Source organism: Homo sapiens, chromosome 17 (genome assembly GCF_000001405.40).
Source record: "Homo sapiens chromosome 17, GRCh38.p14 Primary Assembly".
Taxonomy (NCBI): domain Eukaryota; kingdom Metazoa; phylum Chordata; class Mammalia; order Primates; family Hominidae; genus Homo; species Homo sapiens.
Genome location: NC_000017.11, coordinates 77,238,311 through 77,265,599, shown reverse-complemented (window position 1 = coordinate 77,265,599; position 27,289 = coordinate 77,238,311). Strand labels below are relative to the sequence as shown.

Below are 27,289 nucleotides of genomic sequence, written 5' to 3'. Positions count from 1 at the left end.
ACTCTGATCTGTCCTCAGTGGAGAGGGGCTTCTCCTGCTGTGGGGCTGCCTCCTCTGAACAGCCGGAGCAGGCACTTGTCTCAATGGTGGGGGGAGGCCCAGGTCTCTCTGCACACTGGAATCTTCAGGAACTTTAAAAAGTACCCACCCCAGAACAATTAAATCAGAATATCTGGGCCTGGAGCTTTTTTCAGTGCTCCCTGGGCTGAGAACCATGGGTCTGGTAGAGGGAACCCAGAGATCAAGGTGGAAATTCCACTTCTGCTACAAACCAGCTCTGTGCTCTTCAACACGGTCCTTCAACATCTGAGCCCCAGTTTTCTTATCTGCTCTGTGGGGGACAGCAATGCCCGTGCCATGGGTGGGGTTGGGGATAATATACCTATTGTTTCACTCTTCCTGGGGCGCTACTGCACCCCCAGGTAGATGGTGAGTGATGGAGGGCAGGGAGCCTGACTATAGCCTGGACGCCAGTGCTTCCCTCAGTGCTGTGTGCAGAGACGCCTGATGAAGATTTGATGACGGATTGAAAAGCCACTGCGGGACCAGCCTGGGAAACTGAACCCCACGCAGGCCTCTCTCGTAGGCAACCGGCCAGGTAGAGAAAAGCCAGGTGTCTCCACTTATCACAAGGGCAATCGTAGCACAGCTCTCAAGAGTAAGTGAATCTTAATTTGCTTTCATTAAAAACATAAATAAATACCCCTGCCAAGCGGCGCTGGTGGGGGTGTTGCGAAACGGGCTCCAGGCCCACAGGGGCTGCAGCTGCAGGTGGCTCGGGTCGCAGGGAGCAGAGTCAGGAGACGAGAGTCACTCGGCCACTCGGCGCCCACAGGCATCATCTCAGGTCTCCTTAGCACACTCTGCTCAGTCCCAAATCTCCTTGAAAGTGTCTTTTGGCGAGGACTGCCTGATAAAATACAGGCCGCCCAGTTACACTTGAATTTCAGATAAGCGGCAAATAATTTCTGTTAGTATAAAATATTTGGGACATATTTACACTAAAAGAAATGATTGTTTATCTGAAATTCAGGTGTAACTGCGTAGCCTGTAGTTTTACTTCCTAAGTCTGGAAACCCAGAGGCTTCACCACCACCACCCCCATACCTCCCGCCACCCCGACCTACACAATTAGCCCTAAAAGAGATCACTGCTGACCCCTCCCCCGCTCCCAGCCATTCAGGGCTCCCAGACACCAGGCTGAGGGCCGAGGCCAGCCTGTGACAAGTTCTCACCTGTCCAAGGCAAAAGGAGATAAAAGAAGACAACGCAAAGAGGTTGTTTTGTAAAGCTGAAGGTGTTCAAAGGACTGGTCTTCATTCTTTTTTTTCTTTCCTTTGTGTGTGTGTGTGTGTGTGTGTGAGAGAGAGAGAGAGAGAGAGAGAGAGAGTGTCCTCAAAAAATAAAACAATGCTATCTAGTAACTGGCCACTGAAAATTTTTTTGTTGTTTTTTGAGACAGGGTCTCACTCTGTCACCCAGGCTGGAGTACAGCAGTGCCATCGTGGCTCACTACAGCCGTGACCTCCTGGGTTCAAGCAATCCTCCCACCTCAACCTCCCGAGTAGTTGGCACTACAGGTGTGTACCAACACACCTGACTAATTTTATTTATTTACTTTTTTAGTAAAGATGAGGTCTTGTTATGTTGCCCAGGCTGGTCTCCAACTCCTGGCCTCAAGCAATCTTCCTGCCTCAGCCTCCCAAAGTACTGGGATTACAGGCATAAGCCACCGCACCTGGCCTGAATTTTTTTTTGAGAAGGAGTTTCACTCTTGTCGCCCAGGCTGGAGTGCAATGGCGCGATCTCGGCTCACTGCAACCTCCGCCTCCCAGGTTCAAGTGATTATCCTGCCTCAGCCTCCCAAGCAGCTGGGATTACAGGCATGCACCACCATGTCCAGCTAATTTTTTTTTTTTTGTATTTTCCATGTTGGCCAGGCTGGTCTCAAACTCCTGACCTCAGGCGATCCACCTGCCTCGGCCTCCCAAAGTGCTGGGATTACAGAGATGAGCCACTGCGCCCGGCCGAAAATTTTTGTAAATAAGGAAATAAAACATGGCAGTAGCAAGTAGTGTGTGTCTTTAGAAATACATGTCTTTTTGGTCACATAAAAACTGAATGACCCCATCAAAGCCCTCTAGTTTTGAAAAAAAAAAAGAGATACAGGATCTCAAAATCCCAATTCCAAAGCCTGGGGAGCTAAGATGACTGTTCCAACCCCAGGGTCAGGGTCAGACCAGCCACAGGCACTCTCCAGCCCTGGCATCCCCCACAAGCCCTGCCCCCTCATCCCTCCTGGGCCCATCTGACTGACTTCAGTGTTTTGTGCTCAGTTGCCCTCAGCTGGCACTTCCCACCTTCTCAGCCCCTCCCCTGGCTGCAGCAGGGGCTCAGAGCCACTTCTTGAATGTGGGGCTGCAGATCTGGCCTGTGACCCTCCCTGCATGTCTCTTCCTTTTTTTTTTTTTTTTTTTTTTTTTTTTTTTTTTTTTTTGAGATGGAGTTTCGCGTTTCGCTCTTGTTGCCCAGGCTGGAGTGCAATGGCGTGATTTCGGTTCAATGCAACCTCCACCTCCCACGTTCAAGCGATTCTCCTGCCTCAGCCTCACAAGTAGCTAGGATTACAGGCCTGCGCCACCACGCCTGGCTAATTTTTGTATTTTTTTTTTTTAGTAGAGATGGGCTTTCTCCATGTTGGTCAGGCTGGTCTTGAACTCCCAACCTCAGGTGATCCGCCTGCCTCAGCCTCCTAAAGTGCTGGGATTACAGGCGTGAGCCACTGTGCCCAGGCTGCATGTCTCTTCCTAGCTGAGAACCTTGGGGAGAAAAAGTCACGTGACTTATCTGATATTTTGTTTCATTACCCATGAAGTGGAGTTAATGACCCCCGCCCCACGCCCGAGTTGTTCGAGATTTTTGAGCAGACGCTACATGGATATGTCCACATGTGAACGTTCATCATGTTGCACACTTACAATGTGTGCATTTTTCTATGTCGATGTTATAATTCAACAAAATAGTTTATCAAAAATTAGCAATTAACTTCAATTAGCAAGCAGGCTTCCAATAGAGAGAAACTGATAGCATTTATCTTGCAGGGAAATTTTATTACCTCCAACTTTTAAATAGGAACAGTTTTTTGTTTTTTTTTTTAGACAGAGTGTTGCCCTGTCACCCAGGCTGGAGTGCAGTGGCGCAATCTTGGCTCACTGCAACTTCCGCCTCCTGGGTTCAAGCAATTCTCCTGCCTCAGCCTCCCGAGTAGCTGGGACTACAGGTGCACACCACCACGCCTGGCTAATTTTTTGTATTTTTAGTAGAGACGGGGTTTCACCATATTGGACAGGCTGCTCTCGAACTCCTGACCTCAGGTGATCCATCCGCCTCGGCCTCCCAAAGTGCTGGGATTACAGGCGTGAGCCACCGCGCCCGGCCGGGAACAGTAATTTATTATTTGTGGCCTGCATGAAGCTGGCAGGGCCTCCCCACTGTGGGGAAAAAAAACACTCAGCTGAACTCACATTTGAGTTGGTTTGATGAGGCCTTATTTTTAAAAATTAACCTCCAAACCCATTACATTCCAAAAAACTAAAAATTTACACTGCTTTTCTATTTTAATGGGCTCACAATAAAAGAAAATATTTAAAGCATTAAAAAGATGGCATTTTAAGTTCATTTTTCAAGTCATCCCGTATAGCAAAGACAGATAAACTTTAAAAAGAAAAAATTAAAAGATATAGCCATAATTTTTTAAAAAGTAAGATAACCATCTCCATGTAACAGATACTAAAAATGAGGCAGGGCACTGGAGCCACTCATAGGGGTGGGGACAGGGCTTCCCAGCTGTGTACCTGGAGAGGGGAGAAAGCAGCCATGGCCTCAGAGCCCTGGCACCCAGGGACTCAGCACCCGGACAGCAAAATCCCCAGTAGCCCCCGGGAGGTGGGAACTCTGAGCCAACAACACACGACCTCACCATTTGGGGGAGAGAGTGGGGGAGAGAAGGTGCGGGGAGAGAGAGCAAAAAAGAGGAGAAAGAGAGAGGAAGAGGAAGAGGAAGAAAGAGAGACAGAGATTGACTGAAATGAGAGAGGCATTTACCCAAGACAAACCTACACACCTCACCCCAACCACATGGCAAAGCTGCTGCTAATAAAGACAATTAAGAAAAATCAACCCTTAAATCATTGCAGGTGAAATGGAAATAACGGAAGAATCTGAAAATGATTTCAAATTAAAATGTTTAGGATCATCAAAGAAAACAAGAAGTTGTAAAACCAAAACTGGCTTAAGGCCAGGCGCAGTGGCTCATGCCTATAATCCCAGCATTTTGGGAGGCCCAGGCAGGCAAATCACGAGGTCAGGAGTTCGAGACCAGCCCGGTCAATATGGTGCAAACCCCGTCTTTACTAAAAATATAAAAAATTAGCTAGGTGCGGTGGCGCTCACCTGTAGTCCCAGCTACTCAGGAGGCTGAGGCAGGAGAACTGCTGGAACCTGGGAGGCAGAGGTTGCAGTGAGCCGAGATCACGCCACCGCACTCCAGCCTGGGTGACAGAGTGACACTCTGTCTAAAAAAAAACACAAAAAAAACAAAAAAAACTGGCTTAAATAAGAACAGGTGGTCACGAAAAATAATCAGTGAGAAATCCTGGAAGTTAAAGGTATGATTTTTATTTATTTTAGTTTTTTCTTCCTTCTAAAATTTTTTTATATTCTCTTTTTAAAAAATGTTTTTCATGGGCCAGGCATGGTGGCTTACACCTGTATTCCCAGCACTTTGGGAGGCCAAGGTGGGCAGATTGCTTGAGCCCAGGAGTTTGAGATCAGCCTGGGTGACAAAGTGAGACCTCATCTCTACAAAAAAAAATTTAAAATTAGCTGGGTGTGGTTGATGCATACCTGTAGTCTCAGCTACTTGGGAGGCTGAGGCAGGAGAATCATTGGATCCCAGAAGTTTGAGGTTGTAGTGAGCTATGATTGTACCACTGCACTTCAGCCTGGGTGACAGAGTGAGACCCTGTCTCAAAAAAAAAAAAAAAAAAAAAGCTTTACATTTTAGTATTTATATATTACATTTTTCACCCTGTTGTGGTCTGTGTGCAAAAGGTGTAATTATTGAAATTAAGAAGCCAACAGACAGAATGTAGTTGGCTGGATACATTGAAGAGAGAATAAGTTAGTTGGCTGATGTCACCGAGAGTGTGGTAAAGAACAATATAGATGAAACAGGCCGGGTGCAGTGGCTCACACCTGTAATCCCAGCACTTTGGGAGGCCGAGGCAGGCAGATTACTTGAGGTCAGGACTTCCAGACCAGCCTGGCCAACACGGTGAAACCCCATCTCTACTAAAAATTCAAAAATTTGCTGGGTGTGGTGGCGGGAGCCTGTAGTACCAGCTACTCGGGAGGCTGAGGCAGGAGAATCACTTGAACCTGGGAGGCGGAGGTTGTGGTGAGACCATGCTACCACACTCCAGCCTGGGTGATAGAGCGAGATTCCGTCTCAAAAAGATAAAAGGAGCAGGATTACTTGTTCACCTCGTTCTCTGGGCACTGAGGATTGGCAAGTATGGTCCTCAGGCCAGTTTCTGTGGCCCCCAGGAAATTCTACAAATGCATGAATAATGGGTCAGGACCCACAGTCTCGGTGATCCAAAGCTCACAGGTGATGCACGCTCCTGCAGAATAGAAAGAAGGGACAATCCTGGCTCCTGATGGCGCTGATGGTTTGTTTTCATAAATGTCCATTTAACAGCTGCGACAGCTGGAGATCATTGTTCCTGGGGCATCTCGCTCTACCCCAGCTATGGTCCCTCTGAGCAGCCCCTACAAACACGGGAACCCACCAGAGGCCGAAGAGCCCTAGAAGAGACCAACCTTGGCAGTCCCATAACTGCACTGCCTTACTGTCCCCAAGGCAGACCATTCCCTTGCTCCCTCCAGGGGACACCCATAGCCCCCAGGGGCCACCTGGCTGCAGAAGGCCCCTGCACGGGGATGATTCTCAAGATTCTGATTTATTCATACCCTCCATATTTTCCCAGGCCGTATTCTAAGATGTCAGGGATTTTGTGCAGGGCACAGGGCAGAAGCTGATGTGAGACGTGGGTACCTCCTGTCTCTTCAGAAGAGCTGTGCTCGCCGGCTGCACATGGCGGATGAAGGAGGGGTGTATCTTAGTCCATTCTCATGCTGCTATAAAGAAATTCCCTGAGACTGGGTAATTTATAATGGAAAGGGGTCTTTTGTTTTTATTTTTATTTATTTATTTATTTTGAGATGGAGTTTCCCTCTTGTTGCCCAGGCTGGAGTGCAATGGCATGATCTTGGCTCACCGCAACCTCCGTCTTCTGGGTTCCAGTGATTCTCCTGCCTCAGCCTCCTGAGTAGCTGGAATTACAGGCGCCCGCCACCACACTCAGCTAATTTTTTGTATTTTTAGTAGAGATGGGGTTTCTATGTTGGCCAGGCTGGTCTCGAACTCCTGACCTCAAGTGATCCACCTGCCTCGGCCTCCCAAAGTGCTGGGATTACAGGCATGAGCCATCACGCCCGGCCGGGAAAGAGGTTTAATTGACTCACAGTTTTGCATGGCTGGGAAGGCCTCAGGAAACTTACAGTCATGGCGGAAGGTGAAGGGGAAGCAAATACCTCCTTCACAAGGTGGCAGGAGAGAGAAGAGTGAGCGAAGGAACTTGCCAAACACTTATAAAACCACCAGATGTCGTGAGAACTCACTCACTCACCGTCCTGAGAACAGCATGGGGGAACCGCCCCCATAATCCAATCACCTCCCTCCCTCGACACATGGGGATTACAGGTCCCTCCCTTGACACGTGGGGATACAAATCGAGATGAGATTTGGGTGGGAACAGAGCCGAACCATATCAGGGTGCCTTGACAAAGAGAGAAACCGGAGATCCCAAGCCGAGGAGAAGTTGGAGGTTGGTCCTGAGGGCAGTGGGGCTGGCCTGGTGCGTCTCTGAGGGGAATAGCCATATGGCGCCTGTGGGAGGGGCCCCAGGATTGGGTCCTAGTCTCTCCAGTGTGGACACAGAGCCACGAGGCAGAAAGTACCACGAGATTGTGACCATGTTTGTTTCAGCAGACCCGGCCAGGATGGACAGTGATCAGGGCCCACTCTGAAAGGCCTGGGACCTTTGCACAACCACGGTGGTGGTGACAGCTGTTGGGGGGAGTTGGGAGCAGGAACCCTAAATGACAGATGGTTTCCTGTCCACTCAGCAGGCTGAGGGTCCACCTGGAAGATACCAAGGCGATGGGGCTTGGTGCCGTCCTGAGTTTGCAGGCCGAGGCTCACGCTGCTCTGCCAACACTCACATACAGTATCCGCGTAAGCCAAAGAAACCCCCCGAACTTGGGACAGGCAGCTCCTTGCTGTGGGCCACACACGGGCTCGGGAAGGACCAGTGACTCAGGGGCTTTCATTGTTTCAGATCAAAGGCTGAGTGTGGCCAAGTGAAGGAGAAAGCCCCTGTGCGGGCACCTGCAGAGGCGTCCACCCTGCCCAGGGGCCTCTGGGGACGCAGCGCCCACCCTGCCCAGGGGCCTCTGGGGACGCAGCGACCCACTGACCAGTGAGCGCAGATGAGCGACTGCACCTCTCTGCTTCAGCTCTTCATGGCCAGATGGGAGGACAATCCCCACCTTGCAAGGTGGCGTTAAGGACTGAGAAAGAACGAGCACCAGGCCTGGCCCCATGAGCACTGCTGGGTCTGGATCCAGGCGCCGTCCACCTTCCACCCGGCAGCACTAATGCTTCCCTCCCCGGCTGCACTGGCCCTTATCTGGGGGTCAGGAACTCACGTGCTGAATAAAGAGCAACTCTTTTCCAGACAGGAACGTTGGGTGTAGCAGGGACAGGCACTGGGGCTGAAGTTGCTTTTCCAAGGAGACGGTTTGGAGTGGTGCCTTCCAGAAAGGAGCATGGTAAGGTGAAGGAAAGGAAGCTGGAGAGGGTGAGGAGGGGCTGTTTCAGGAAATGAAGCTGAGGGGAAGTGGCTCAGGATGTGGAGGTGGAGGAGGTGATAGAATGGAGGAGGTGATGGGAATGGAGGAGATGATGAGGATGGAGGTGATGGGGATGGAGGAGGTGGGGAGATGATGGGATGGAGGAGGTGACAGGAGGTGATGGAGATGGGGAGGAGGTGATGGAGATGAAGGAGGTGGGGAGGTGATGGGAATGGAGGAGGTGATAGAATGAAGGCGATGATGGGAATGGAGGAGGTGATGAGGATGGAGGAGGTGATGGGGATGGGGGAGGTGATAAAATGGAGGAGATGATGGGAATGGAGGAGGTGATGGGGATGAAGGAGATGGGGAGGTGATGAGGATGGAGGAAGTGATGGGGATGAAGGAGGTGAGGATGGAGGAAGTAATGGGGATGGAGGAGGTGATGGGGATGAAGGAAGTGGGGAGGTGATGGGGATGGAGGAGGTGATGGGGATGGATTCCATTCTGGCCTTCCCTCATACCCTATGGGCCTCCTTCATCACTTTGGTTAACAACTTAGGCAGTTCCCAAAGCTGTTCATCTAGCTTCAGCAAATGAACCATCTCATCTTGGCCAATCCAGGCTTGCTGTCCCATATTAAAATAACCAAACCAGTCTAAGTCAAAACTTCCGTCTCACATCTGATGGCAAGCTGCAGGGGGCAGTAGTAGGGATCAGCCCTTCTACCTCCTTGCTCCCCTCCACCCTCATACATGCCTCCTCTCTCCCATCCCCTGCAAAGGACATCCTCCAGGGCACCCCTCCCCCAGGCAGCCCCACCCACCCCAGCTGCTGGTCCTTGTGGTTCAGTGCCATCCAGGCAGCGAGCCCTTCATGAGCCTCCCACCTGAACCTACCCTCCTGGTGTTGCATGGCAACTTCGAGCACCCTTCCCTGGGAAACGCTGGAAATGTGGAGGGTGACCTGCCCAGGCAGCTCCAGCCACCCTTCAGAAGGCTCCAGGGGCAGGGCTGCTGCCTCTCTGCACCCAGCCCCAGCCGAGGTGGCCAAGCCCTCCCAAGAAAGCTCCCCACTTCTGCCTGGGGCCAGGACTCGAGTTCAGAAAACCACCAGCAGAGGCTCCTTTGCCAGGGGTGCTCGGGGGGCCCCCTATCCTGGCTTGAGTCCCTTCACAGTCCCATCTCTATTCCTCAAAACTTGCCTCCAGCAAGCCCCTCTGATATGAGCCCTCGTTTGCAAGTGGCTTTGGCTCTGGGCTTTATGCTGCAGATTCACTGACACCTCATCACAGTTCCTCTAGCACCCATTTCACAGATGAGGAAACAGAAGCACAGAGAGCTTAAGTCCCCTGCTTGAGGTCTCACAGCTTCTCTGCAGGGGAGCCCAAATTCAGTTCCTGGCAGCAGCATGCTTCCCGGTCTGTGCCCGTAACCCCACTGCAGCTCTCTGCTGGGACCGTATGCCACCTTTTGAGATGTCCAACATTGACACGTCAGGCACCCTGTCTGCACTGAGCAGACACGTCGGGCACCCTGTCTGCACTGAGCAGGCACGTCGGGCACCCTGTCTGCACTGAGCAGGCACGTCGGGCACCCTGTCTGCACTGAGCAGGCACGTCGGGCACCCTGTCTGCACTGAGCAGGCACGTCGGGCACCCTGTCTGCACTGAGTAGGCACGTCGGGCACCGTGTCTGCACTGAGTAGGCACGTCGGGCACCGTGTCTGCACTGAGTAGGCACGTCGGGCACCCTGTCTGCACTGAGTAGGCACATGGGCATTCTCTGCTTTCCAGCTTCATCCAAAATCCCAGGCATCTGGGAAAGTCCCTGGTCACAGGGAGCCCAGCGATTCCTGGTGTGGGAGGGTAAGGGAATAGAGGAGTGGTTCTTCTCCACCCTGCCTCTGCCCTGAAAGACTTATTCACTGGCAACGTCCCCTAGAAAGAGGCCTCTGAGCTCCTAACCACAGGGTGCAGGACCCAGTAGCTCATGTCTGTGCCTCGTGCCGGGTGGCACGCTGACCCGGCTGCAACCAGCCAGTGGTGACTCAGGCCTCGGAAATGACAGGCTTCCGTGGAGACAGAGGGCGCCGGGGTCGGGGAGGCAGCCCACGAGGAGCTTAAACCCCCACTGGGGGAGGGAGAGCAGGACAGAGCTGGATGGCAACATGAGAGGCCGGGGGTGTGAGTGAGGCCTCTGCCCACAGGTGACCCGGGTCACACCTTCCAGGAGCCACAGACAGGCCCCAGCAGGAGGAGCTGGGGGACACACACAGGCCCCAGCAGCAGAGGTGGAGTGGTTGCAGGACAGGCCTGGAGGGCAGGGGAGGGGCTGAGCCTCCGCAGTGGGCAAGAAGATCGGCCTCACAGCGCTGACGGTCAGGAGGCCCAGTCTGCCGCCCCATGCTGTGTGCCTATGAGGCCCCACGGGCCTCAGCTTCCTATTCTGTGACAGGGAGCAGCCCCCTCACCTGGCCAGGTGCCAACTGAGAGAGAGCTTGGCCCTGGGCAGGGCCACCTTCCTGTGTGCTGAATCGTCACCTGGAGGCAAGACCGGAAAGTGTTCTCACTGTATTGCATTCCTGGGCCCGAGGAGCTCTTTCACAGGGCTGAGCCGTGGATGAAGTGCTTATGAATTGGCACAAAGAGGGGGCCGGGTCTGATTCATCTGTGTGCCCCATCCGCACCCCATACAGGATCGGGCACAGAAAGACATTTCCCATGGTTACAGGAGGAAATAGAGTAGGATGGGGAAGAACTGGCCTCTGAGGTCCCTCTTTCTTCCCACCCTATCCCCCAAAAGTTGCCTTCCTGGACCCCCCTGCCCCCGTGTCCCCCACATAGGTGTTTACACGCTGATCAGTGGTGGAGATTCCAGGCAACAAGGAGCTGGGAGGCTGAACAGGTACTGGAAGCCAGTGGCCAATGCCCCTGGAACAGAGCCCTGTGGCCGAGCTGCGAGCTCTGTTAGGTCTCCAGCTTATGGCTCCCATGAAGGGCCTTGCCCTCCTGCCAGGGGCAGTATAACAATCTACCCAAATGCCCATGGACCCCTCTGGAGGCTTGTAAAGCCCCAAACTCCTGTTTGCTGCGAACTTACCAGGCTCGGCCACAGGGGCAGGGAGAACGTCCGGCCGGAGCGCAGGGAAGGAAGGTTGGGTCTCTGGAGTCCGCGGGGGTGGGGGGCTCCCTCCCAGGTCTCGCCCTTCAGCTTTTCTGTTTCCCACTTCAGGGCCACACGTCCGTCGTTCCGAACCTCCAATCACATTGGTAACCAACATCATGGGTTCCCAGTGGCCCCGTTGTGGGGTCTTTTCCTCCTGGGGTCTCTGCTGGGGCTTCTCCCTCTCCTCGCTTCCGGCCATCCCCTTCGCTGGGGAGCAGTTGGCTGCTTTTCCGCAGCCAGTGCCTTTCGCGGGTCCAGTTGATCCTATGAGATGCACCATGGAGGGGTAAATGCAGCCTGGGCTCCTCCAGAAGCCAGGGTGCCCACTGCTGCGTGGAGATGCTACCAAGCGTTCAAGTTGTGCGGGTTGTGGAAGAAGCTGGTGAGCCCTGGAGTCAGGCCTGGAACTCAGAACCGAGCGTGAGTCAATCCCTCTGCTTTTCACCGGGAAAAATCTTCCTGGCTCGAGGTCCTGGGTTCATCACTTTCTTCAAACAAACACTCAATCAAACACTTAGAGACTTCCGGTCTGGGTAAGATGGCCTAAACCCGACCCTCCCTGTTCCTGTCTGCTAAGCCCTGGAAAGAATGTAAGAGGCAACCCTAAGAGGGCCCTGAGGTGGAAGGAGCAGGAGAGCTGGTAAAGGACCCCAAGGCTGGGTCAGGAATATTTATCAACAGGGCATTATGACACCCCTCACCCCCACCCAATACAGGACCCGCCCAGGCGTGCATTTCCCAACTCCCGACCTAGCAACAGAAGGCAGCCAAGTAGGCTCCTTTCTCTCCTAGATTAAAGGCAAGTCGCCCCAACACACTAGGCAAGGCTGGGCCCGATTGCTCACAGCTGTAATCCCAGCGCTTCAAGACAGGAGGATCTCTTGAGACCAGGGATTTGATACCAGCCTGGGTAACCCAGCAGACCCTGTCTCTACAAAGAAAACTTAAAAATTAGCCGGGCATAGTGGCAGCTGCGTACAGTCCCAGCTACTCAGGAGGCTGAGGTGGGAGGATCACTTGAGCCCAGGAGATCAAGGCTGCAGTGAGTTATGATCGCACCACTGTACTCCAGCGTGGGCAACAGAGTAAGACCTGTAAAAAAAAAAAAAAAAAAAGCTGGGCACAGTGGCTCACACCTGTGATCCCAGCACTTTGGGAGGCTGAGGCGGGTGGATCACCCGAAGTCAGGAGTTTGAGACCAGCCTGGCCAACATGGTGAAACCCCGCCTCTACTAAAAATACAAAAATTAGCCGGGCGTGGTGGTGGGTGCCTGTGGTCCCAGCTACTCAGGAGGCTGAGGCAGGAGAATCGCTTGAACCTGGGAGGCAGAGGTTGCAATGAGCCAAGGTTGCGCCATTGCACTCCAGGCTGGGCGACAAACTCAAAAAAAAAAAAAAAAAAATGAACAACAAAAAACCCACCAAGCAAGCCAGGCAGAACCACCAAAGGGGTTGGCCCAGCACCCTCCTGCTAATTATTGGCCAGGGTTAACCCTTTCCTCCTCACTGGACCTGAAATTCCACTCCCCCACCCAAAATCATGGCACAGCAGAGAGAGGGGGAGACGTTGATGGCAGGGAGAAAGCCCACCACAAGCAGAAGGCCTGTCTGTCCCTGTGAGCGGGAGACTCCCTTCTCCCACCTGGAGGCAATGAATGTCCAGCCTGGGAAAGCTCCTTCTGCCTCCTTAAGCAGCACCACACAAGCCGAGCTGACCTCTATAGCACGGCAGAGGCTCTGCAAATCAGATTTTCATTGGAACCACAGCCCCCAAAAGTAGCCCAAGACCTGGGTGCTAAACCTAAGCAGGGCCGCTGCTACCAAAGTAAAAAATGCAAACAGGACCTGAAGTCTCCTCACCTAATAGCCACAATGTCCAGGATATGGTGAAATTCACTCATCCCACCAAGAACTACGAAAATCACAATGTGAGTGGGAAGACCGTCAACTGAACCCTGAGATGAATCAGACGTTGGAGTTACGTGCCCAGGATTTTACTCTTTTTTTTTTTTTTTTGGAGACAGTCTTACTCTGTCACACAGGCTGGAGTGCAGTGGTGCGATCTCAGCTCACTGCAACCTCTGCTTCCTGAGTTCAAGCGATTCTCCTGCCTCAGCCTCCTGAGTAGCTGGGATTACAGGCATGTGCCATCATACCCGGCTAATTTTTGTATTTTTAATAAAGACAGGCTTTCACTATGTTAGCCAGGCTGGCCTCGAACTGCTGACCTCAAGTGATCCACCCTCCTCGGCCTCCCAAAGTGCTGGAATTACAGGCATGAGCCACTGCGCCCAGCCATGTGACCAGGATTTTAAAGCAACCATCAAAAAAAACACATAAAAATAAAAAATTCAACAAGCAATTGCAAATTCTCTTGAAACAAATGAAAATATAGAAATTCTCAGCAAAGAAATAGTGGGTATTTAGAAAGAACCAAATGGAAATTACAGAACTGAAAAATGTCATTGCAGAAATTTTAAAAACTCCCTGATGGGCTCAGTTGTAGAGTGGAAATGACAGACGACAGAATCAGTGAATCTGGGGACAGATCAATCCAAAGTACCCAGTCTGAACCACAGGGAGAAAATAGACGGATAAGAAATAAACAGAACGTCCACATCCAATGGGACCATAACAAACAAATCTGACACTCACATCATAGGGGCTAAGGAGGAGAAGAGAGTGAGGCTGAAGGAGTATTTGAAGAAATAATGGCTGAAAACTTTCCAAATCTGGTAAAAGACATAAGCTTACAGATTCAGGAAACTGAACTTCAAACAGAAGAAGCCAAAGAAATCTACACTGAGATATCATCATTAAACTTCTGAAAACTAAAGACAAAAAATCTCCTCAGAACAGCCAGAGAAACAACACATTACCTATAGGGACACCAGTTCAAATTATCTCATCTGAAACTACGGAGGCCAGAAGTGATGTGGATGACTTGAGGTCAGGAGTTTGAGACCAGCCTGGCCAACATGGTGAAACCCCGACTCTACTAAAGTTACAAAAAATAGCCGGGTGTGGTGGCACATGCCTGTAGTCCCAACTACTTGGGAGGCTGAAGCACGAGAATTGCTTGAGCCTAGGGATTGTGGGGCCAAGACTGCTGATGGGGGGTGGGGTTGAGCTGTGATGGTGCCACTGCACTTCAGCCTGGGTGACAGAGTGAGACTCTGTTTCAAAAAAAAAAAAAAAAAATCAGTAACAGAAAGACTACAGGAAAATCTCTAAACACTTGGAAATTGAACAGTACACCTCTAAATATCCACGTCAATGAGGAAGTCTCAAAGAAAATTAAGAAATCTATAAAACTGAATGAGAATTAAAGGACAGCATACCAAAATATGTGGGATGCATCTGAGGCAATGCTGAGAAAGAAATTTTCTTATTTTTATTTTTTATTATTTTTTTGAGACAGAGTCTTGCTCTGTTGCCCAGGCTGGAGTGTAGTGGTGTGATCACAGCCCACTGCAGCCTCGACTCCTCAGGCTCAAGCAATCCTCCCACCTCAGCCTCCTGATGAACTGGGACTACAGGAACATGCCCCCCACACCTAGCTTGCTTTTTTTCTTTTTTTGCTAGAAACAGGGTTTTGAGGTTGCTCAGTCTTGAACTCCTGGCCTCAAGTGATCTTCCCGCTTCAGCCTCCTAAAGTACTGGGATTACCTGTGTGAACCACTGTGCCCAGCCGAGAGGGATACTTATAGCACTAAATACTTACATTAAGAATAAAGATATCTCTAGTTTCAGCTACTTGAGAGGCTGAGGCAGTAGGATCGCTTGAGACCAGTCATTTGAGGTTGCCGTATGCTGTGCTGGCACCTGTAAGTAGCCACCATACTCCAGCCGGAGCAATGTGGTGAGGCCCTGACTCTAAAAATAATAAATAAATAAATATAAATTAAAAGAGAGCAGTCTCGTCTGGGCGTGGTGGCTCACGCCTGTAATTCCAGCACTTTGGAAGGCTGAGGCGGGTGGATCACGTGAGGTCAGGAGTTTGAGACCAGCCTGACCAACATGGTGAAACCCCATCTCTACTAAAAATACAAAAATTAGCTGGGTGTGGTGGCGGGCGCCTGTAATCCCAGCTACTTGGGAGGCTGAGGCAGGAGAATCACTTGAACCCGGGAGGTGGAGGTTGCAGTGAGCCAGGATTGCGCCGCTGCACTCCAGCCTGGGTGACAGAGTCAGGTCCATCTCAAAAAAGAAAAAAAAAATTAGGCAGGCGTGGTGGTGCATGCCTGTAATCCCAGCTACTTGGGGGGCTGAGGCAGAAGAATCGCTTGAACCTGGGAGGCAGAGGTTGCAGTGAGCCGAGATCCGTACCATTGCACTCCAGCCTGCGGGATAAGAGCGAAACTCTGTCTCAAAAAAAAAAAAAAAGAGAGAGACAGAAGTCTCAAATTAACCATTTATTGAGGTGGGTTCTGTGCTTGGTGCTGAGATGATAATTGTGAAGGCCCAGTCTCTTCCAAAGGGGCTTACAGCTTGAATGGGCACAGAAACAAGGAAAGGAGGAATTCACACACAGTGTGGTCAGGGGTGTAATTCACACACAGTGTGGTCAGGGGTGTAATTCATACACAGTGTGGTCAGGGGTGTAATTCACACACAGTGTGGTCAGGGGTGTAATTCACACACAGTGTGGTCAGGGGTGTAATTCACACACAGTGTGGTCAGGGGTGTTGGTTGAGGGTAGCCTAGGGCTAGGGTGTTGGCTTAGCCAGGTCAATACAGGCAGATGGCATCAAATCCAGGCTTGGGGAGCAAAGAAGTCTTCTCAGAGGAGAAGCTGCACCCTGATAGGTGAGGTGGGCCCCCCAAAATGGGGAGAGGGCTGTCTGGGCTCAGAAAGCTGGGACACGCAAAGGCGCTGAGGGGAAGAGGACATGGCCCATCAGGGCACTGTCAGTGTGGCCAGACAGAGCAGGCAAGGCGGGGGAGACCCTGGGAGACAGAGCCAGACCCAGAACGAGGGGCCCCTTCCCAGACTCTGAAGGAGTTTGGGCTTGATCCTAAGACAATTCAGAGCCAATGAAGAGTTTCAAGATGACAAGGTCTCATCTGTGTTTTGGGAAGACCCTTCCAACTGTTGGAGGAGGGCTGCTCCTAGATGCAGGGGGGCCAGGAGGGAGGGACCCAGTGGGCCATTTGGGAGAGGTGGACGCTGGACAGGGCAGGGGCGGCAGGCAGAGAAGAGGAGTCCACAGCTCCTGGGCGAAGATCGCCAGGATTTGAAGATGAGATCTGGAAACGACGGCCCGGGGACATCCAAGCTGAGCCTGGGCCAGTGGGTAAATAAGCGGTCATTCACTGAGTAGGGAACATGAAGGAACAGATGGAGATGCTTTGTGTTGCCTTTGGTGGGGACAGAGCAAAAATACAATGATGGCATTTCCATCTGGGAGATGGCGCATCAGGGGCCAGGAGGCACGTCTTAGCCGGGACATGGAGGTGACCTAATTGACATGTGGCTGTGGCTGCAATCGGGGATTTGGGAGAAACGCCACTGAGATGAATCAGAGGAGAAGGGCCAGAGACCAGGTCCTGGACGTGGGGATGTCCACATTTAAGGGGAAAACAGAAAAAGAAGGGTTGGGGAGAAGTCAAAGAGCCGGGAAGAAATCCAGGCGAGAACTGCACTCGTAACCAAGGGACAGAAGGTTTAGAGAGTGACATGCCAGGGAGAGCTGCAGCTCGCTGGGTTGGCAGAAGGGGCAGATGGTGAGTAGGGGGAGGTCATGGAGGAGGGATGAGGTGGAGGGGCAGGGAGTTCACGAGAGAGAGGAGGTGGACCTGGGAGAGGAGACAACTCCTTGGTTTTAGAGCAAAGAACCTTGAGTTAACATATTTACGCCAGGAGAGAGAATGTCTAGGCTTGAAGGGGGAGGTGAGGGCTGATGGCACAAGGCTTCCAGCAGAGGATGGACAGCTCGGCCTGGAATAGAGAGTGAGACACAGTTTCCACGGAGGTGGAGAAGGGGACACAGTCCCTCGTCTGTGATTAGATGCCAACGGAATCCAGGCACAAGGGAAAGAGGGGCAGCACCTGCCCTCTGGAGGCTTCCAGTCTAGCGGAAGCTGATGGGTGGGAGGCAGGTGCAGAAAGATGGGGATCAGGCCTGGGAAGCAGTGCAGGAGCCAGGAACACCCAGCCCTCTTCCTGTCCCTGGGGTGCCCAGCACCAGGGAGCATGAGTGGTGACCAGAGGTGCAGGTGGGTCCCCCCTGGTTAGTGGGAGAGTGGGGGAGGGCAGATGGAGTGGGGAGTCTTGAGTGACAAGCCAGCGCCCCTGGCACCCATCTCTGAGCATGGCAGACATGGTCCTGCCTCCACGGTGCTCCAGGTCCAGCTCAGCATCTTCCTTGGAGGGGCACCCCAGAGGGGCCCCCAGCCACATCCTGTAAAATATGGGCTTCTGATGACTCTCTGACCTGGCTCTTCCTCCATAGCTCTCAGCCCCCTTGGAAATCAATTTTAAAATGTGCACTTAAAGGTTTGGTTCACTACAAAGGGCAGGTGAACAAGACAGACACAAATGATCCTTGGGAGCCCACGTCAAGGGGTAGGAGGCAGACAAGTGAACAGACTGTGATGATCCAGCCCGCAGAGGGCCGGTAGGCCCACATATAGCAGGAGCGCCCACCCTCACATGGAGGGGGAGGGAGGGCTTCCTGGAGGAGGCGACATCTAATGCTACCCAAAGGGTAAGTAGCAGCTCATGAGTTAGGCAGGTGAAAAAATCTTCAGGCAGAGAGAACCACAGGTGACACAAGCCAGCATGCCTGGGTTCCAATCCCAGGCCCTCCCCACCCCGACCCCCGGCGGTGGGACTTCTCTGTGTCTCAGTTTCCCGCTCTTTAAGAGGGAGCCAGAACAGCACCAACTCCATAGGTCTGAGAGGACCACACACTTGGAAGACGGCCCTGCGCCTAGTGTGGCCGCCACTCTGAGAGCGCCCGTCACCATCGCCCGGAGGAGGAGGGAGGTCGCTGTCGCCAAGAGCCCGAGGACCAGAGCCGGCGGTCAGACCCTTCTCCACGCCCTCCAGGCTCTCGGCCTCGGTCCTCAGAGGGCAACGGCAGTGGGCCCTTCCTCCCAGAACTGCTAAAACATCGCCCTGCGGAAAGGGCCCCTCGCAGCCCAAGACGCCGGGGAAGCGCTGGAGGCGCCGAAGACTCGGTCGGGGGTCTCGGGCGCAGCCCCAGGACCTGCGGAACCCGGCCCGGTGCGCAGACGCGCACACTCCAGCAGGTGGCGCTGCCTCCCCTGGAACGAGTCGGCTCCCGCAGGCGGCGCCCGGGGCGGGAGGGAGGCAAAGGGAGGGACCGGAGAGCAGGGCGCCTCCCTCTGCCCCGCCGGCCCAGGCGTCCGATGCGGCCCCTGCGAGCCCCCTCCCCGGGAGTTCTCATTGCCTCCCCCTGCCCCCGCTCCCGGCCGCTCCGATGCCTGTGGCAACCGGGATCCCGCGCCCGCCTCACCTGGGTGCGGGGGTGCAGGGTGACCTTTCACGCCGGGCCAACGCCAGTACCCCCTTCTCAGCACACCTGGGTCCCCGAGCGGGCCAGGTGGTTCCGTGGGGGCGGCCGCCACCGGCACACCTGGGCTGGATCCCCGCACACCTGGGTCCGCCCGTGTCGGGCTCGGGTACAAGTCCTGGCCGTGACACCTGGACCCCTCCACAGCCCTGCGGCTCCTCACTTCCCCCCTGCAGGGGTGGTTAGAGGAGCCACTCTAATAAGATCTAATAAGATCCCTGCAGGGCTGGTTAGAGGAGCCACTCTAACGCACCTGGAAGGTAACCGGCCATTCACAGGAATAGGACACCTGTCCCCTTCGTGCTAAAGGACGTTGGGGACAAGCAGGCCCCATCCAAAACATGGGGAAAGTGACCACTGTCATCCCAGGGAAGAGGTAAGAGGGAGCACAGGACTTGGTAGGGGCAGCTGTCACGGGGATGAGATGGAGAAGAGTCATGGGACCACCTATAGCCCTGTGTCCCCAGAGCCACATGCCACAAACACACATACAAACATATACACATGTGCATAGGGACACACATTCACATGCTCATATGCACACATTCATACACACATATATGAACACACATGCATAGACATACATGCAAACACACGCTCATATGCACACATTCATATACACATATAAACACACATGCACATACACGCACATACACACACGCTCAATGCACACATTCATATGCACATATAAACACATGCACACATACATGCACACACATACATATACAATGCTCATATGCACACATATACACATATAAACACATACACACACGCTCATATGCACACATTCATATACACATAAACACATGCACAGACACACGCACATACACGCTCAATGCACACATTCATATGCACATATAAACACACATGCACACACATACATATACAATGCTCATATGCACACATACACATATAAACACACATGCACACACATACACCTGCTTATATGCACACGTTCATATACATGTATATAGACATGCACAGACATGCTCATGCACACATATACACATATGTACACATACACACGTGGACACATACGCACTTGCATAGACATACACATGCTCATATGCACACATACACGTAAACACGCACACACACATACGCATGCTCATATGCACACATTCATACACACATGTACACATACATGCACATACACATGGGCATACAGACACAGACACATGCTCATATGCACACATCCATACACACATATGTACACATACATGCACATACACGTGGACACATACATGCACACATATACACATACACATGTGTGCACACAATGTGTACACAGATATACACATATATATTTACACATGCTCATACACATACTGACATACATACTCATATAAACATATGCACACACACACACACACCAGGCCAAAGGCTGGTCTCGGCCACAGGGAAGCCCACAGCTGCTCCCTGGGGCTCTGTGGAGGAGAGCGAGGGGTCTAGGTCTGGGCGGGCTGTGCGTGCCGCCGTGTCCTGCCAAAATGACTTGAAACCCTTCTCTCTTCCGGGCACTGTGCTGTCTCTCAGTCACGTCACCTCCTCACCATGCACCCGACCTTTGCAGAGATGAACTGTGACACCTGTCCCGCGCCTACACGGACTCTCAGAGTCTGGCTGGGCCCTCCACATTTCCTTCCCAAAGCTCTAACCACATCCCCTCTCCTTTCCCCAACTCCCTCTGCTCCCTCTCTTTTTCTCTCCACCCTCCTGTCTTCTACAATGTTGATCACCTCTGCCCTCCCCTCCCCGTCCCCTCTATCACCCTGCTCTGATTCTTATCACTCTGCTCCACGCTCCTGGCTGAGCCCCCCAGCCCAGCCCACCCTCCATGCCTCACTGCTCCAATCATGTCAAAACCCCAGTAGGCCACAGGGTTTCAAAGTGGATTCTTTTTTTTGTTTGTTTGTTTCATACTAACCTCACTATGGGGATTTTTCAAAAGTAATTTATTTTTAGTTATGATTATTATTATTTTTTGTAGAGACAAGGTCTCACTGTGTTGCCCAGGCTGGTCTCGAACTCCTGGCCTCAAGCAATCCGACCACCTCAGCCTCCCAAAGTGCTGGGATCACAGGGTTGAACCACCGCATCCGGCCTTCAAAGTGGATTCTTAAGGAACCAGTTTTATAGAATACTACACACAGGCGGCCCTGAGGTTTGGAACCAAGGCTGTAAATGCATCTGGGGACCTCCTTCCATTAAGAAATGCTTTGAATGCTGGAGGAACGTTTATTATGTAGTGGGGTGACTGCCCTGAGCCCACATGGGGTTCAGCCCCTGGTGTGATGAGTGTGCAGGGAGAGACTGTGGAAGCCCAGCCATGTGTTGCCATGGATTGTTTTGGGGTGAGGGGATATTGGTGACAGGCTGGCAGGGAGCTCGGCGCTCACCCTGTGCCAATGTGTCCTCCCGGGTTTACTTGGTGCCTCCAATAGGGAAGAGGTAGCTCTAACAATGGAGAGGACCAGCTCTCACCTCAAAACCAGGGACCAACCTCAGAATCCCGAGAGTCATGATGTGCCTTCATTTTTTTTTGGAGACAGAGTCTCACTCTGTCGCCCAGGCTGAGTGCAGTGGTGCAATCACAGCTCACTGCAGCCTCAACCTCCTGAGCTCAGGAGATTCTCCCACCTCTGCCTCCCAAGTAGCTGGGATTACAGGCACATGCCAACACACCTAGCCACTTTTTAAAAAATTTTTGTAGCAACAGGATCTTACTGTATTGCCCAGGCTGGTCTCAGAACTCCTAGGCTTAAGCGGTCCTCCTGCCTCGGGCTTCCAAAGTGCTGGGATTACAGGTGTGAGTCACCACATCTGGCCCATAATGTGCTTCTGATGACCTATAAGACCCTCTGGCCTGAAAGCACAACCTGAATCTTATCAGACCTAGTTTAGCTCTAACTTCAACTTCATAGGCCACAACAAGCAACAGCGTATGTATACCACAGCCAGAGGAAGCAGCCAGGCTGACCCTGAATGGATGCCTTGCAAGTCCACAGCCCGCCAACCCAGTCTCTTCCACAGTCAGACATGAAAACACAGGATGGCCGGATGCGGTGGCTCACATCTGTAATCTCAGCACTTTGGGAGGCTGAGGCGGGCAGATCACCTGAGGTCAGGAGTTCGAGACCAGCCTGGCCAACATGGCAAAACCTCGTCTCTACTAAAAATACAAAAATTAGCCGCACGTGGTGCCAGGCACCTGTAATCCCAGCCACTCAGGAGGCTGAGGCAGGAGAATCGTTTGAACCTGGGAGGTGGAGGCTGCAGTGAGCTGAGGTTGTGCCACTGCACTCCAGCCTGGGCAACAGAATGAGACTCCGTCTCAAAAAAAAATTAAAAGAAAAAAAAAACAAAGGAGGCAGCAGGTTAAAGGTGACTAAGAGATGAAACCACCAAATGCAACGCATGCACCTTATCAGGATCCTGGGTTTTGTTTGTTTATTTTTATTTTTTAAGACAGAGTCTTGCTCTGTCGCCCAGGCTGGAGTGCAGTGGCATGATCTCAGCTCACTTCAACCTCCTCTTCCCAGGTTCAAGTGATTCTCCTGTCTCAGCCTCCCAAGTAGCTGGGATTACAGGCATGCTCCACCAGGCCCGGCTAATTTTTTTTTGTGCTTTTAGTAGAGGTGGGATTTCACTACATTGGTGAGACTGGTCTCGAACTCCTGACCTCAGATAATCCGCCCACTTCAGCCTCCCAAAGTGCCGGGATTACAGGCATAAGCCACCGCGCCCAGCCTGGGATCCTGTTTTGAACAAACCCAGCTGGAAAAGCCATTTGGGAGACAACCAAACAAACATGGACTGGGCAGGCCATGATATTAGAAAATCAGGGTTAATTTTGTTAGCTGTGATCATGGTATTGTGGTTCAGTAAAAGAAAATGTCATTTTTAAAAGAAAATGTCTAAAAAAGATTTAGGGGGAAATGTCACAGAGACAGTAACTGACTTTAGATTAGTTTAGAAAAGAAAACCAGATGAAGCAAATATGGCAAAATGTTAGCGATTGTTAAATATAGAGGCTGGATCCGGAGGCGTTCATAAGGCTGCTGTCTGCACTCTCCGGAGGTTGAGATTTTCCATAATAAAGAGTTGTTTTCAACGTTTAATAAAGTGTGCACACAGGGGAGGACGCAGGCGTGAAAGGACAATGTTTAGAACACATTTACAGTCACACAACAATAAGGAGCGATTTATGGGTCTTCCGGAAGAAGTGACTGGGTTTGAAATTCCACGTGGGTGCCTGGGGGAGTGTGCACTTGTCAGAGGACAAAAGCCCTCGACGCTCTTGCGTTCACTCAGTAGCCATGGTTCACGCGCCCCACGGCAAGTGCTGCGAGGGGGAGAGACACAGGGAAATGGCCCTGAAATGGCACAGGGAGGTGCCCAGGCTCCGAGCAGCCCGGAGGACTCTGGAACCGTGGGGAAGCTGCCGGTATGGAGCCCAGTGAGCTCCTGGAACAGCACTACCGCTCCCCAAGACCTCCACCCACTTCATCGCTTATGGCACCTGCTGCGGGGTTAGGTGCCTGTCCACCTGCCAGGCAACCTAGTTCAAGCTGTTCCTCCAATCACATGACCCTGCAGACCAGCCCTGTGCCCTACCAGGCGGCGCCAGCCACCCCAGCTCACTTCTGGTGCCCTCAGGAGGATTTTGTCCAGTTGTTTGAGGCTGGCAGAGGTTTGTTGGGACACAGGGGGGTGTACAACAGGCCCCCCTGAGCCATTTCTGTTGAAGAGGTGTTTACTTGCCCTCCCAATTAGTTCCCAAGAGACTGGAAGTGTTGGAGTCTTGTTAGGAAAAGTGTGGATAAACTGTAAACGCCTGAGAAAGGTCTTTGGGCTGAAGGCTTTCTGGTGATGGTGGCCAAAGGGTCCTCCCAGGCTGGCACCCCACAGCGTGCAGAGCAGTCTAGTCCACAAAAGGAGCCACACTCGCTCATGTGTCCCCACATCAACCATCCCCAAAACCGGACTCAAGGGCAGAAGTGTCGTGGCAGCGTCTCTAAGCAGCGCGGGCTAATGCAGAGGCCGCTGCATTTACCTGGGGTGCCGCGCACAGCCCAGACGTGCTGGGGAGTGAGCGATTCTGGGGTTGGCCCTTTAGAAGTGCTGGAGGTGTCATGTGAAATCCTAACTCGGGGGCAGCCTCCCCAGGAAGCAGGCCGGGTCTAGGGGGCTAGACTCTTTGATTTTTAACTATCCAATGCAATTCTGCAATAGATATTGGAGAGTGAATTTTAAACTGCTGTGTTCATTAGCTTGCCTCTCAATTATCAGCAGAGCTTTTGGCAGGACGGAAGTTGATTTATGTTTGTTTGCATGGAGGGGCCCCTAAAATCCCACCCCGCTTCAGCCTTGGACAGTCCTGTGCCTTTTCTAACAGATGGAGTGGAACAAGCTGAGTCACCCCACGCCGGGCCCGCTTGGGAACGCCGGGGTGGGGGTACTGCTCGGCTGACCCTCGGGTTTGGGTTTGCTGAGCAGGGTGGACAGGCCAACAAAGGGGGTCTACCAAGGTGCTGGGTCAGGGAGAAGCAACGTCCAGGGGGGCTCGCTGGAGGGGAACCTGGTGCCTCTAATGGGCTCCCTCCCCCCGCCGCACCCCCTGCAGTCACCATCTTCCCACAACATGTTCAAAATAAATTCTTACTAATCCATAATGGAACTGGTTCTCTTTGGGGCCACATCAGAACTGAGAACAACCTCAAGGCGGATGCGGCTGAGAGGGACTGCCTCCTGCGGGCGCCGCCACACACACTGGGAGTCTGCCACGTCCAAGGGACTGGATATGCTTCTTCCTTCCACACCTGCGCCCCCCACCCCCAGATGGCTTCATGCCCTCAGCAGCGGCTGGAGAAGAACCCGGAGGCTCAGATAGTAAAAACTCCTAGAGGCGCAGATGACGCTCCTTAGGAAAATGCAAAACTGAGGCTCATGCTTTCGTCTAAGCTGAAGTCCCTCTTGCTTGAGCACTTAAGCCCATAAGGCCTGATATTTCCCCAGGGGGAAGCACGGATTCTTATCATGCGCACAGTTGAGGCTCCATGTTCTACTCCCTTCCTCATGGAAGAGATGATCTGACTTTTAAAATGACAGTATGCAGGCGTGGTGCAGAGGTTCACACTGGTAATCCCAGCACTTTGGGAGGCCAAGGCAGGAGGGTTGCTTGAGCCCAGGAGTTCAAGACCAGCCTGGGCAACACGGTGAAACCCCATCTCTACAAAAATACAAAAATTAGCCAGGCATGGTGGTGCACACCTGTAATTCCAGCTGAGGGAGGCTGGAATTGGGAGGCTGAGGCAGGAGAACCACTTGAATTCAGGAGGCGGAGGTTGCAGTGAGCTGAGATCATGCCGCTGCACTCCAGCCTGGGCGACAGAGCTAGACTCCAGCTCAAAAAAAAAAAAAAACCGAAACTCCCATGGGCTCTGTTGCATGCCTGCCCCCCGGGGAGGCTGGTGAGCCCGGCCTGGGAGTAGAGCCTCTGCTGCCCAGTGCTCTCCAATCTCCTTGTTTTGTGCCAGAGCCACTAACTCTAGGATTCTAAAATTGAATGCATGCATGAATTCATGGATCCTGTCCTAGTACAGACAAACTCAATCCTTAGGGTATGTCGGATCCCCCAGTGCACACACACTGCTTCTCTCCAGAACTCTTAAATACGTGTGTGCTTTCAGAAAATTCCTCACCAGGCCGGGCGCGGTGGCTCACGCCTGTAATCCCAGCACTTTGGGAGGCCGAGGCGGGTGGATCACGAGGTCAGGAGATCGAGACCATCCTGGCTAACAAGGTGAAACCCCGTCTCTACTAAAAATACAAAAAATTAGCCGGGCGCGGTGGCGGGCGCCTGTAGTCCCAGCTACTCGGGAGGCTGAGGCAGGAGAATGGCGTGAACCCAGGAAGCGGAGCTTGCAGTGAGCCGAGATTGCGCCATTGCAGTCCGCAGTCCGGCCTGGGCAACAGAGCGAGACTCCGTCTCAAAAAAAAAAAAAAAAAAAAAAAAAAAAAAAAAAAAAAAGAAAATTCCTCACCATGTGTAATTTCACGTATTAAACAGAAAATCAGGAAGCGATCACAAGAGAAATCTGGCATTGGAGAAGAATTCTTACTGGGGGTTCTTTCAACAGCCTTTTCCCAGAACACATTTTAAAATATGAGTTCACGCACCGGAAAGGTGTTTATTGAACAAACTGCGGTCTGCCTGCCTCATGAGAGCAACATGGTATGCACCAGGGGGTGGAGTGGAAGTGCTCTTTTTTTTTTTTTTGAGATGGAGTCTTGCTGTATCGCCCAGGCTGGAGTGCAGTGGTGCTATTTCAGCTCACTGCAGCCTCAGCCTCCCAGGTTCAAGCAATTCTTCTGCCTCCGCTTCTTGAGTAGCTGGGACTACAGGTGCATGCCACCATGTCCAGCTAATTTTTGTATTTTTAGTAGAGACGGGGTTTCACCATATTGGCCAGGCTGGTCTTGAACTCCTGACCTCGTGATCCACCTGCCTTGACCTCCCAAAGGTTTGGGATTACAGGCATGAGCCACCATGCCCGGCCTGAAGTGTTTTGTTTTTTTTTTTTTGAGATGGAGTCTCGCTCTGTCGCCCAGGCTGGAGTGCAGTGGCGCTATCTCGGCTCACTGCAAACTCCGCCTCCCGGGTTCAGGACATTCTCCTGCCTCAGCCTCCCGAGTAGCTGGGACTACAGGCACCCACCACTGCGCCTGGCTAATTTTTTCTATTTTTAGTAGAGACGGGGTTTCACCGGGTTAGCCAGGATGGTCTCGATCTCCTGACCTCATGATCCGCCCGCCTCAACCTCCCAAAGTGCTGGGATTACAGGCGTGAGCCACCGCGCCTGGCCTGAAGTGTTTTTTATATTGACAATGAAGACACCACCATAAAGCTAAGCGAGAGAAATAGGATGGATGCTGGCATTATTCAGAAGTGAACCCTTTGCCATCTGGCCCCAGAGTCCCAGTTCCTGATCTGGAAGCCTGTGTTCTCTGCCCCATCAGGGCGTGGACCTTCCATCTTAGGAGAAGCTGCTCAGATTATGCTAACGAGGGCAGGATCTGGTGGAAGAGTGTCTACACCTGCCAAGCCCTTGGAAAAAGCTTCTGCAGGGGCCTGGAATTGAATCACCTTGGCTCTTTGTACCACCAAGGAGATTAATGTCTGTCCTGTCTGAGCATTGTGATCTCAGGGTCGTCTGTGGGAGATTTCAACCTTAGGTGGATTCCAGTCTCATCTTTCATCAGAATCACGCACACCACACCTGCTGCCCCATTTCCGAAGATGGAGCCCCAATCTGGGAGCTTGTGCTAGGGGCCCAGCCCCAGCTCCATCCCAGGGGCTCACTGTGTGACTTCAGTCAAGTGTCTTAACCTTTCCGGGCCTCAGTTTCATCCTCTCAGTCATAAAAGTGCTAGTTTAGATCAATGATTCTCAGCTAGGGGCAGTTTTGCCCACATGGGGAACATTAAACAGTGTCTGGCTGGACACGGTGGCTCACACCTGCAATCCTAGCACTTTGGGAGGCCGAGTTGGGAGGATCACTTGAGATCAGGAGTTCGAGACCAGCCTGGCCAACATGGTGA

General features: G+C 52.4%; 1 long non-coding RNA gene across 2 annotated transcripts, besides 6 other annotated features; it reads right to left on the bottom strand.

Annotated features, from left to right (window-relative positions):
- Window positions 1–6,254: 6,254 nt before the first annotated feature.
- Window positions 6,255–11,786, bottom strand: LACAT1 (lung adenocarcinoma-associated transcript 1). Of its 2 annotated transcripts, NR_188629.1 has the most exons (4): window positions 11,079–11,786; window positions 10,450–10,519; window positions 7,834–7,976; window positions 6,255–6,396 (listed from the first exon to the last, which is right to left on the bottom strand). It is a non-coding gene; the product is annotated as a lung adenocarcinoma-associated transcript 1 (long non-coding RNA). The 2 variants fall into 2 exon arrangements; NR_188630.1 differs by lacking the exon at window positions 10,450–10,519 and having other exon boundaries at window positions 6,255–7,267; window positions 7,834–7,938.
- Window positions 6,714–7,369: an enhancer, noted in NCBI's record as "H3K4me1 hESC enhancer chr17:75254313-75254968 (GRCh37/hg19 assembly coordinates)". NCBI's record gives its function as "activates a minimal SCP1, AML or CMV promoter by ChIP-STARR-seq in naive H9 embryonic stem cells {active_cell/tissue: H9 hESC(naive)}" and the evidence as "EXISTENCE:reporter gene assay evidence [ECO:0000049][PMID:30033119]".
- Window positions 7,370–8,027: an enhancer, noted in NCBI's record as "H3K4me1 hESC enhancer chr17:75253655-75254312 (GRCh37/hg19 assembly coordinates)". NCBI's record gives its function as "activates a minimal SCP1, AML or CMV promoter by ChIP-STARR-seq in naive H9 embryonic stem cells {active_cell/tissue: H9 hESC(naive)}" and the evidence as "EXISTENCE:reporter gene assay evidence [ECO:0000049][PMID:30033119]".
- Window positions 10,275–11,474: an enhancer, noted in NCBI's record as "P300/CBP strongly-dependent group 1 enhancer chr17:75250208-75251407 (GRCh37/hg19 assembly coordinates)". NCBI's record gives its function as "activates an origin of replication core promoter dependent on BRD2, BRD4, P300/CBP, MED14 and CDK7 cofactors, with strong dependence on P300/CBP, by STARR-seq in HCT116 cells {active_cell/tissue: HCT116}" and the evidence as "EXISTENCE:reporter gene assay evidence [ECO:0000049][PMID:35650434]".
- Window positions 17,575–18,425: an enhancer, noted in NCBI's record as "H3K27ac-H3K4me1 hESC enhancer chr17:75243257-75244107 (GRCh37/hg19 assembly coordinates)". NCBI's record gives its function as "activates a minimal SCP1, AML or CMV promoter by ChIP-STARR-seq in naive H9 embryonic stem cells {active_cell/tissue: H9 hESC(naive)}" and the evidence as "EXISTENCE:reporter gene assay evidence [ECO:0000049][PMID:30033119]".
- Window positions 17,575–18,486: a biological region, named in NCBI's record as "H3K27ac-H3K4me1 hESC enhancer GRCh37_chr17:75243257-75244107".
- Window positions 18,311–18,486: a silencer, noted in NCBI's record as "fragment chr17:75243196-75243371 (GRCh37/hg19 assembly coordinates)". NCBI's record gives its function as "represses an EF-1alpha promoter that drives an FKBP-Casp9 reporter gene in an ReSE screen in HepG2 liver carcinoma cells {active_cell/tissue: HepG2}" and the evidence as "EXISTENCE:reporter gene assay evidence [ECO:0000049][PMID:32094911]".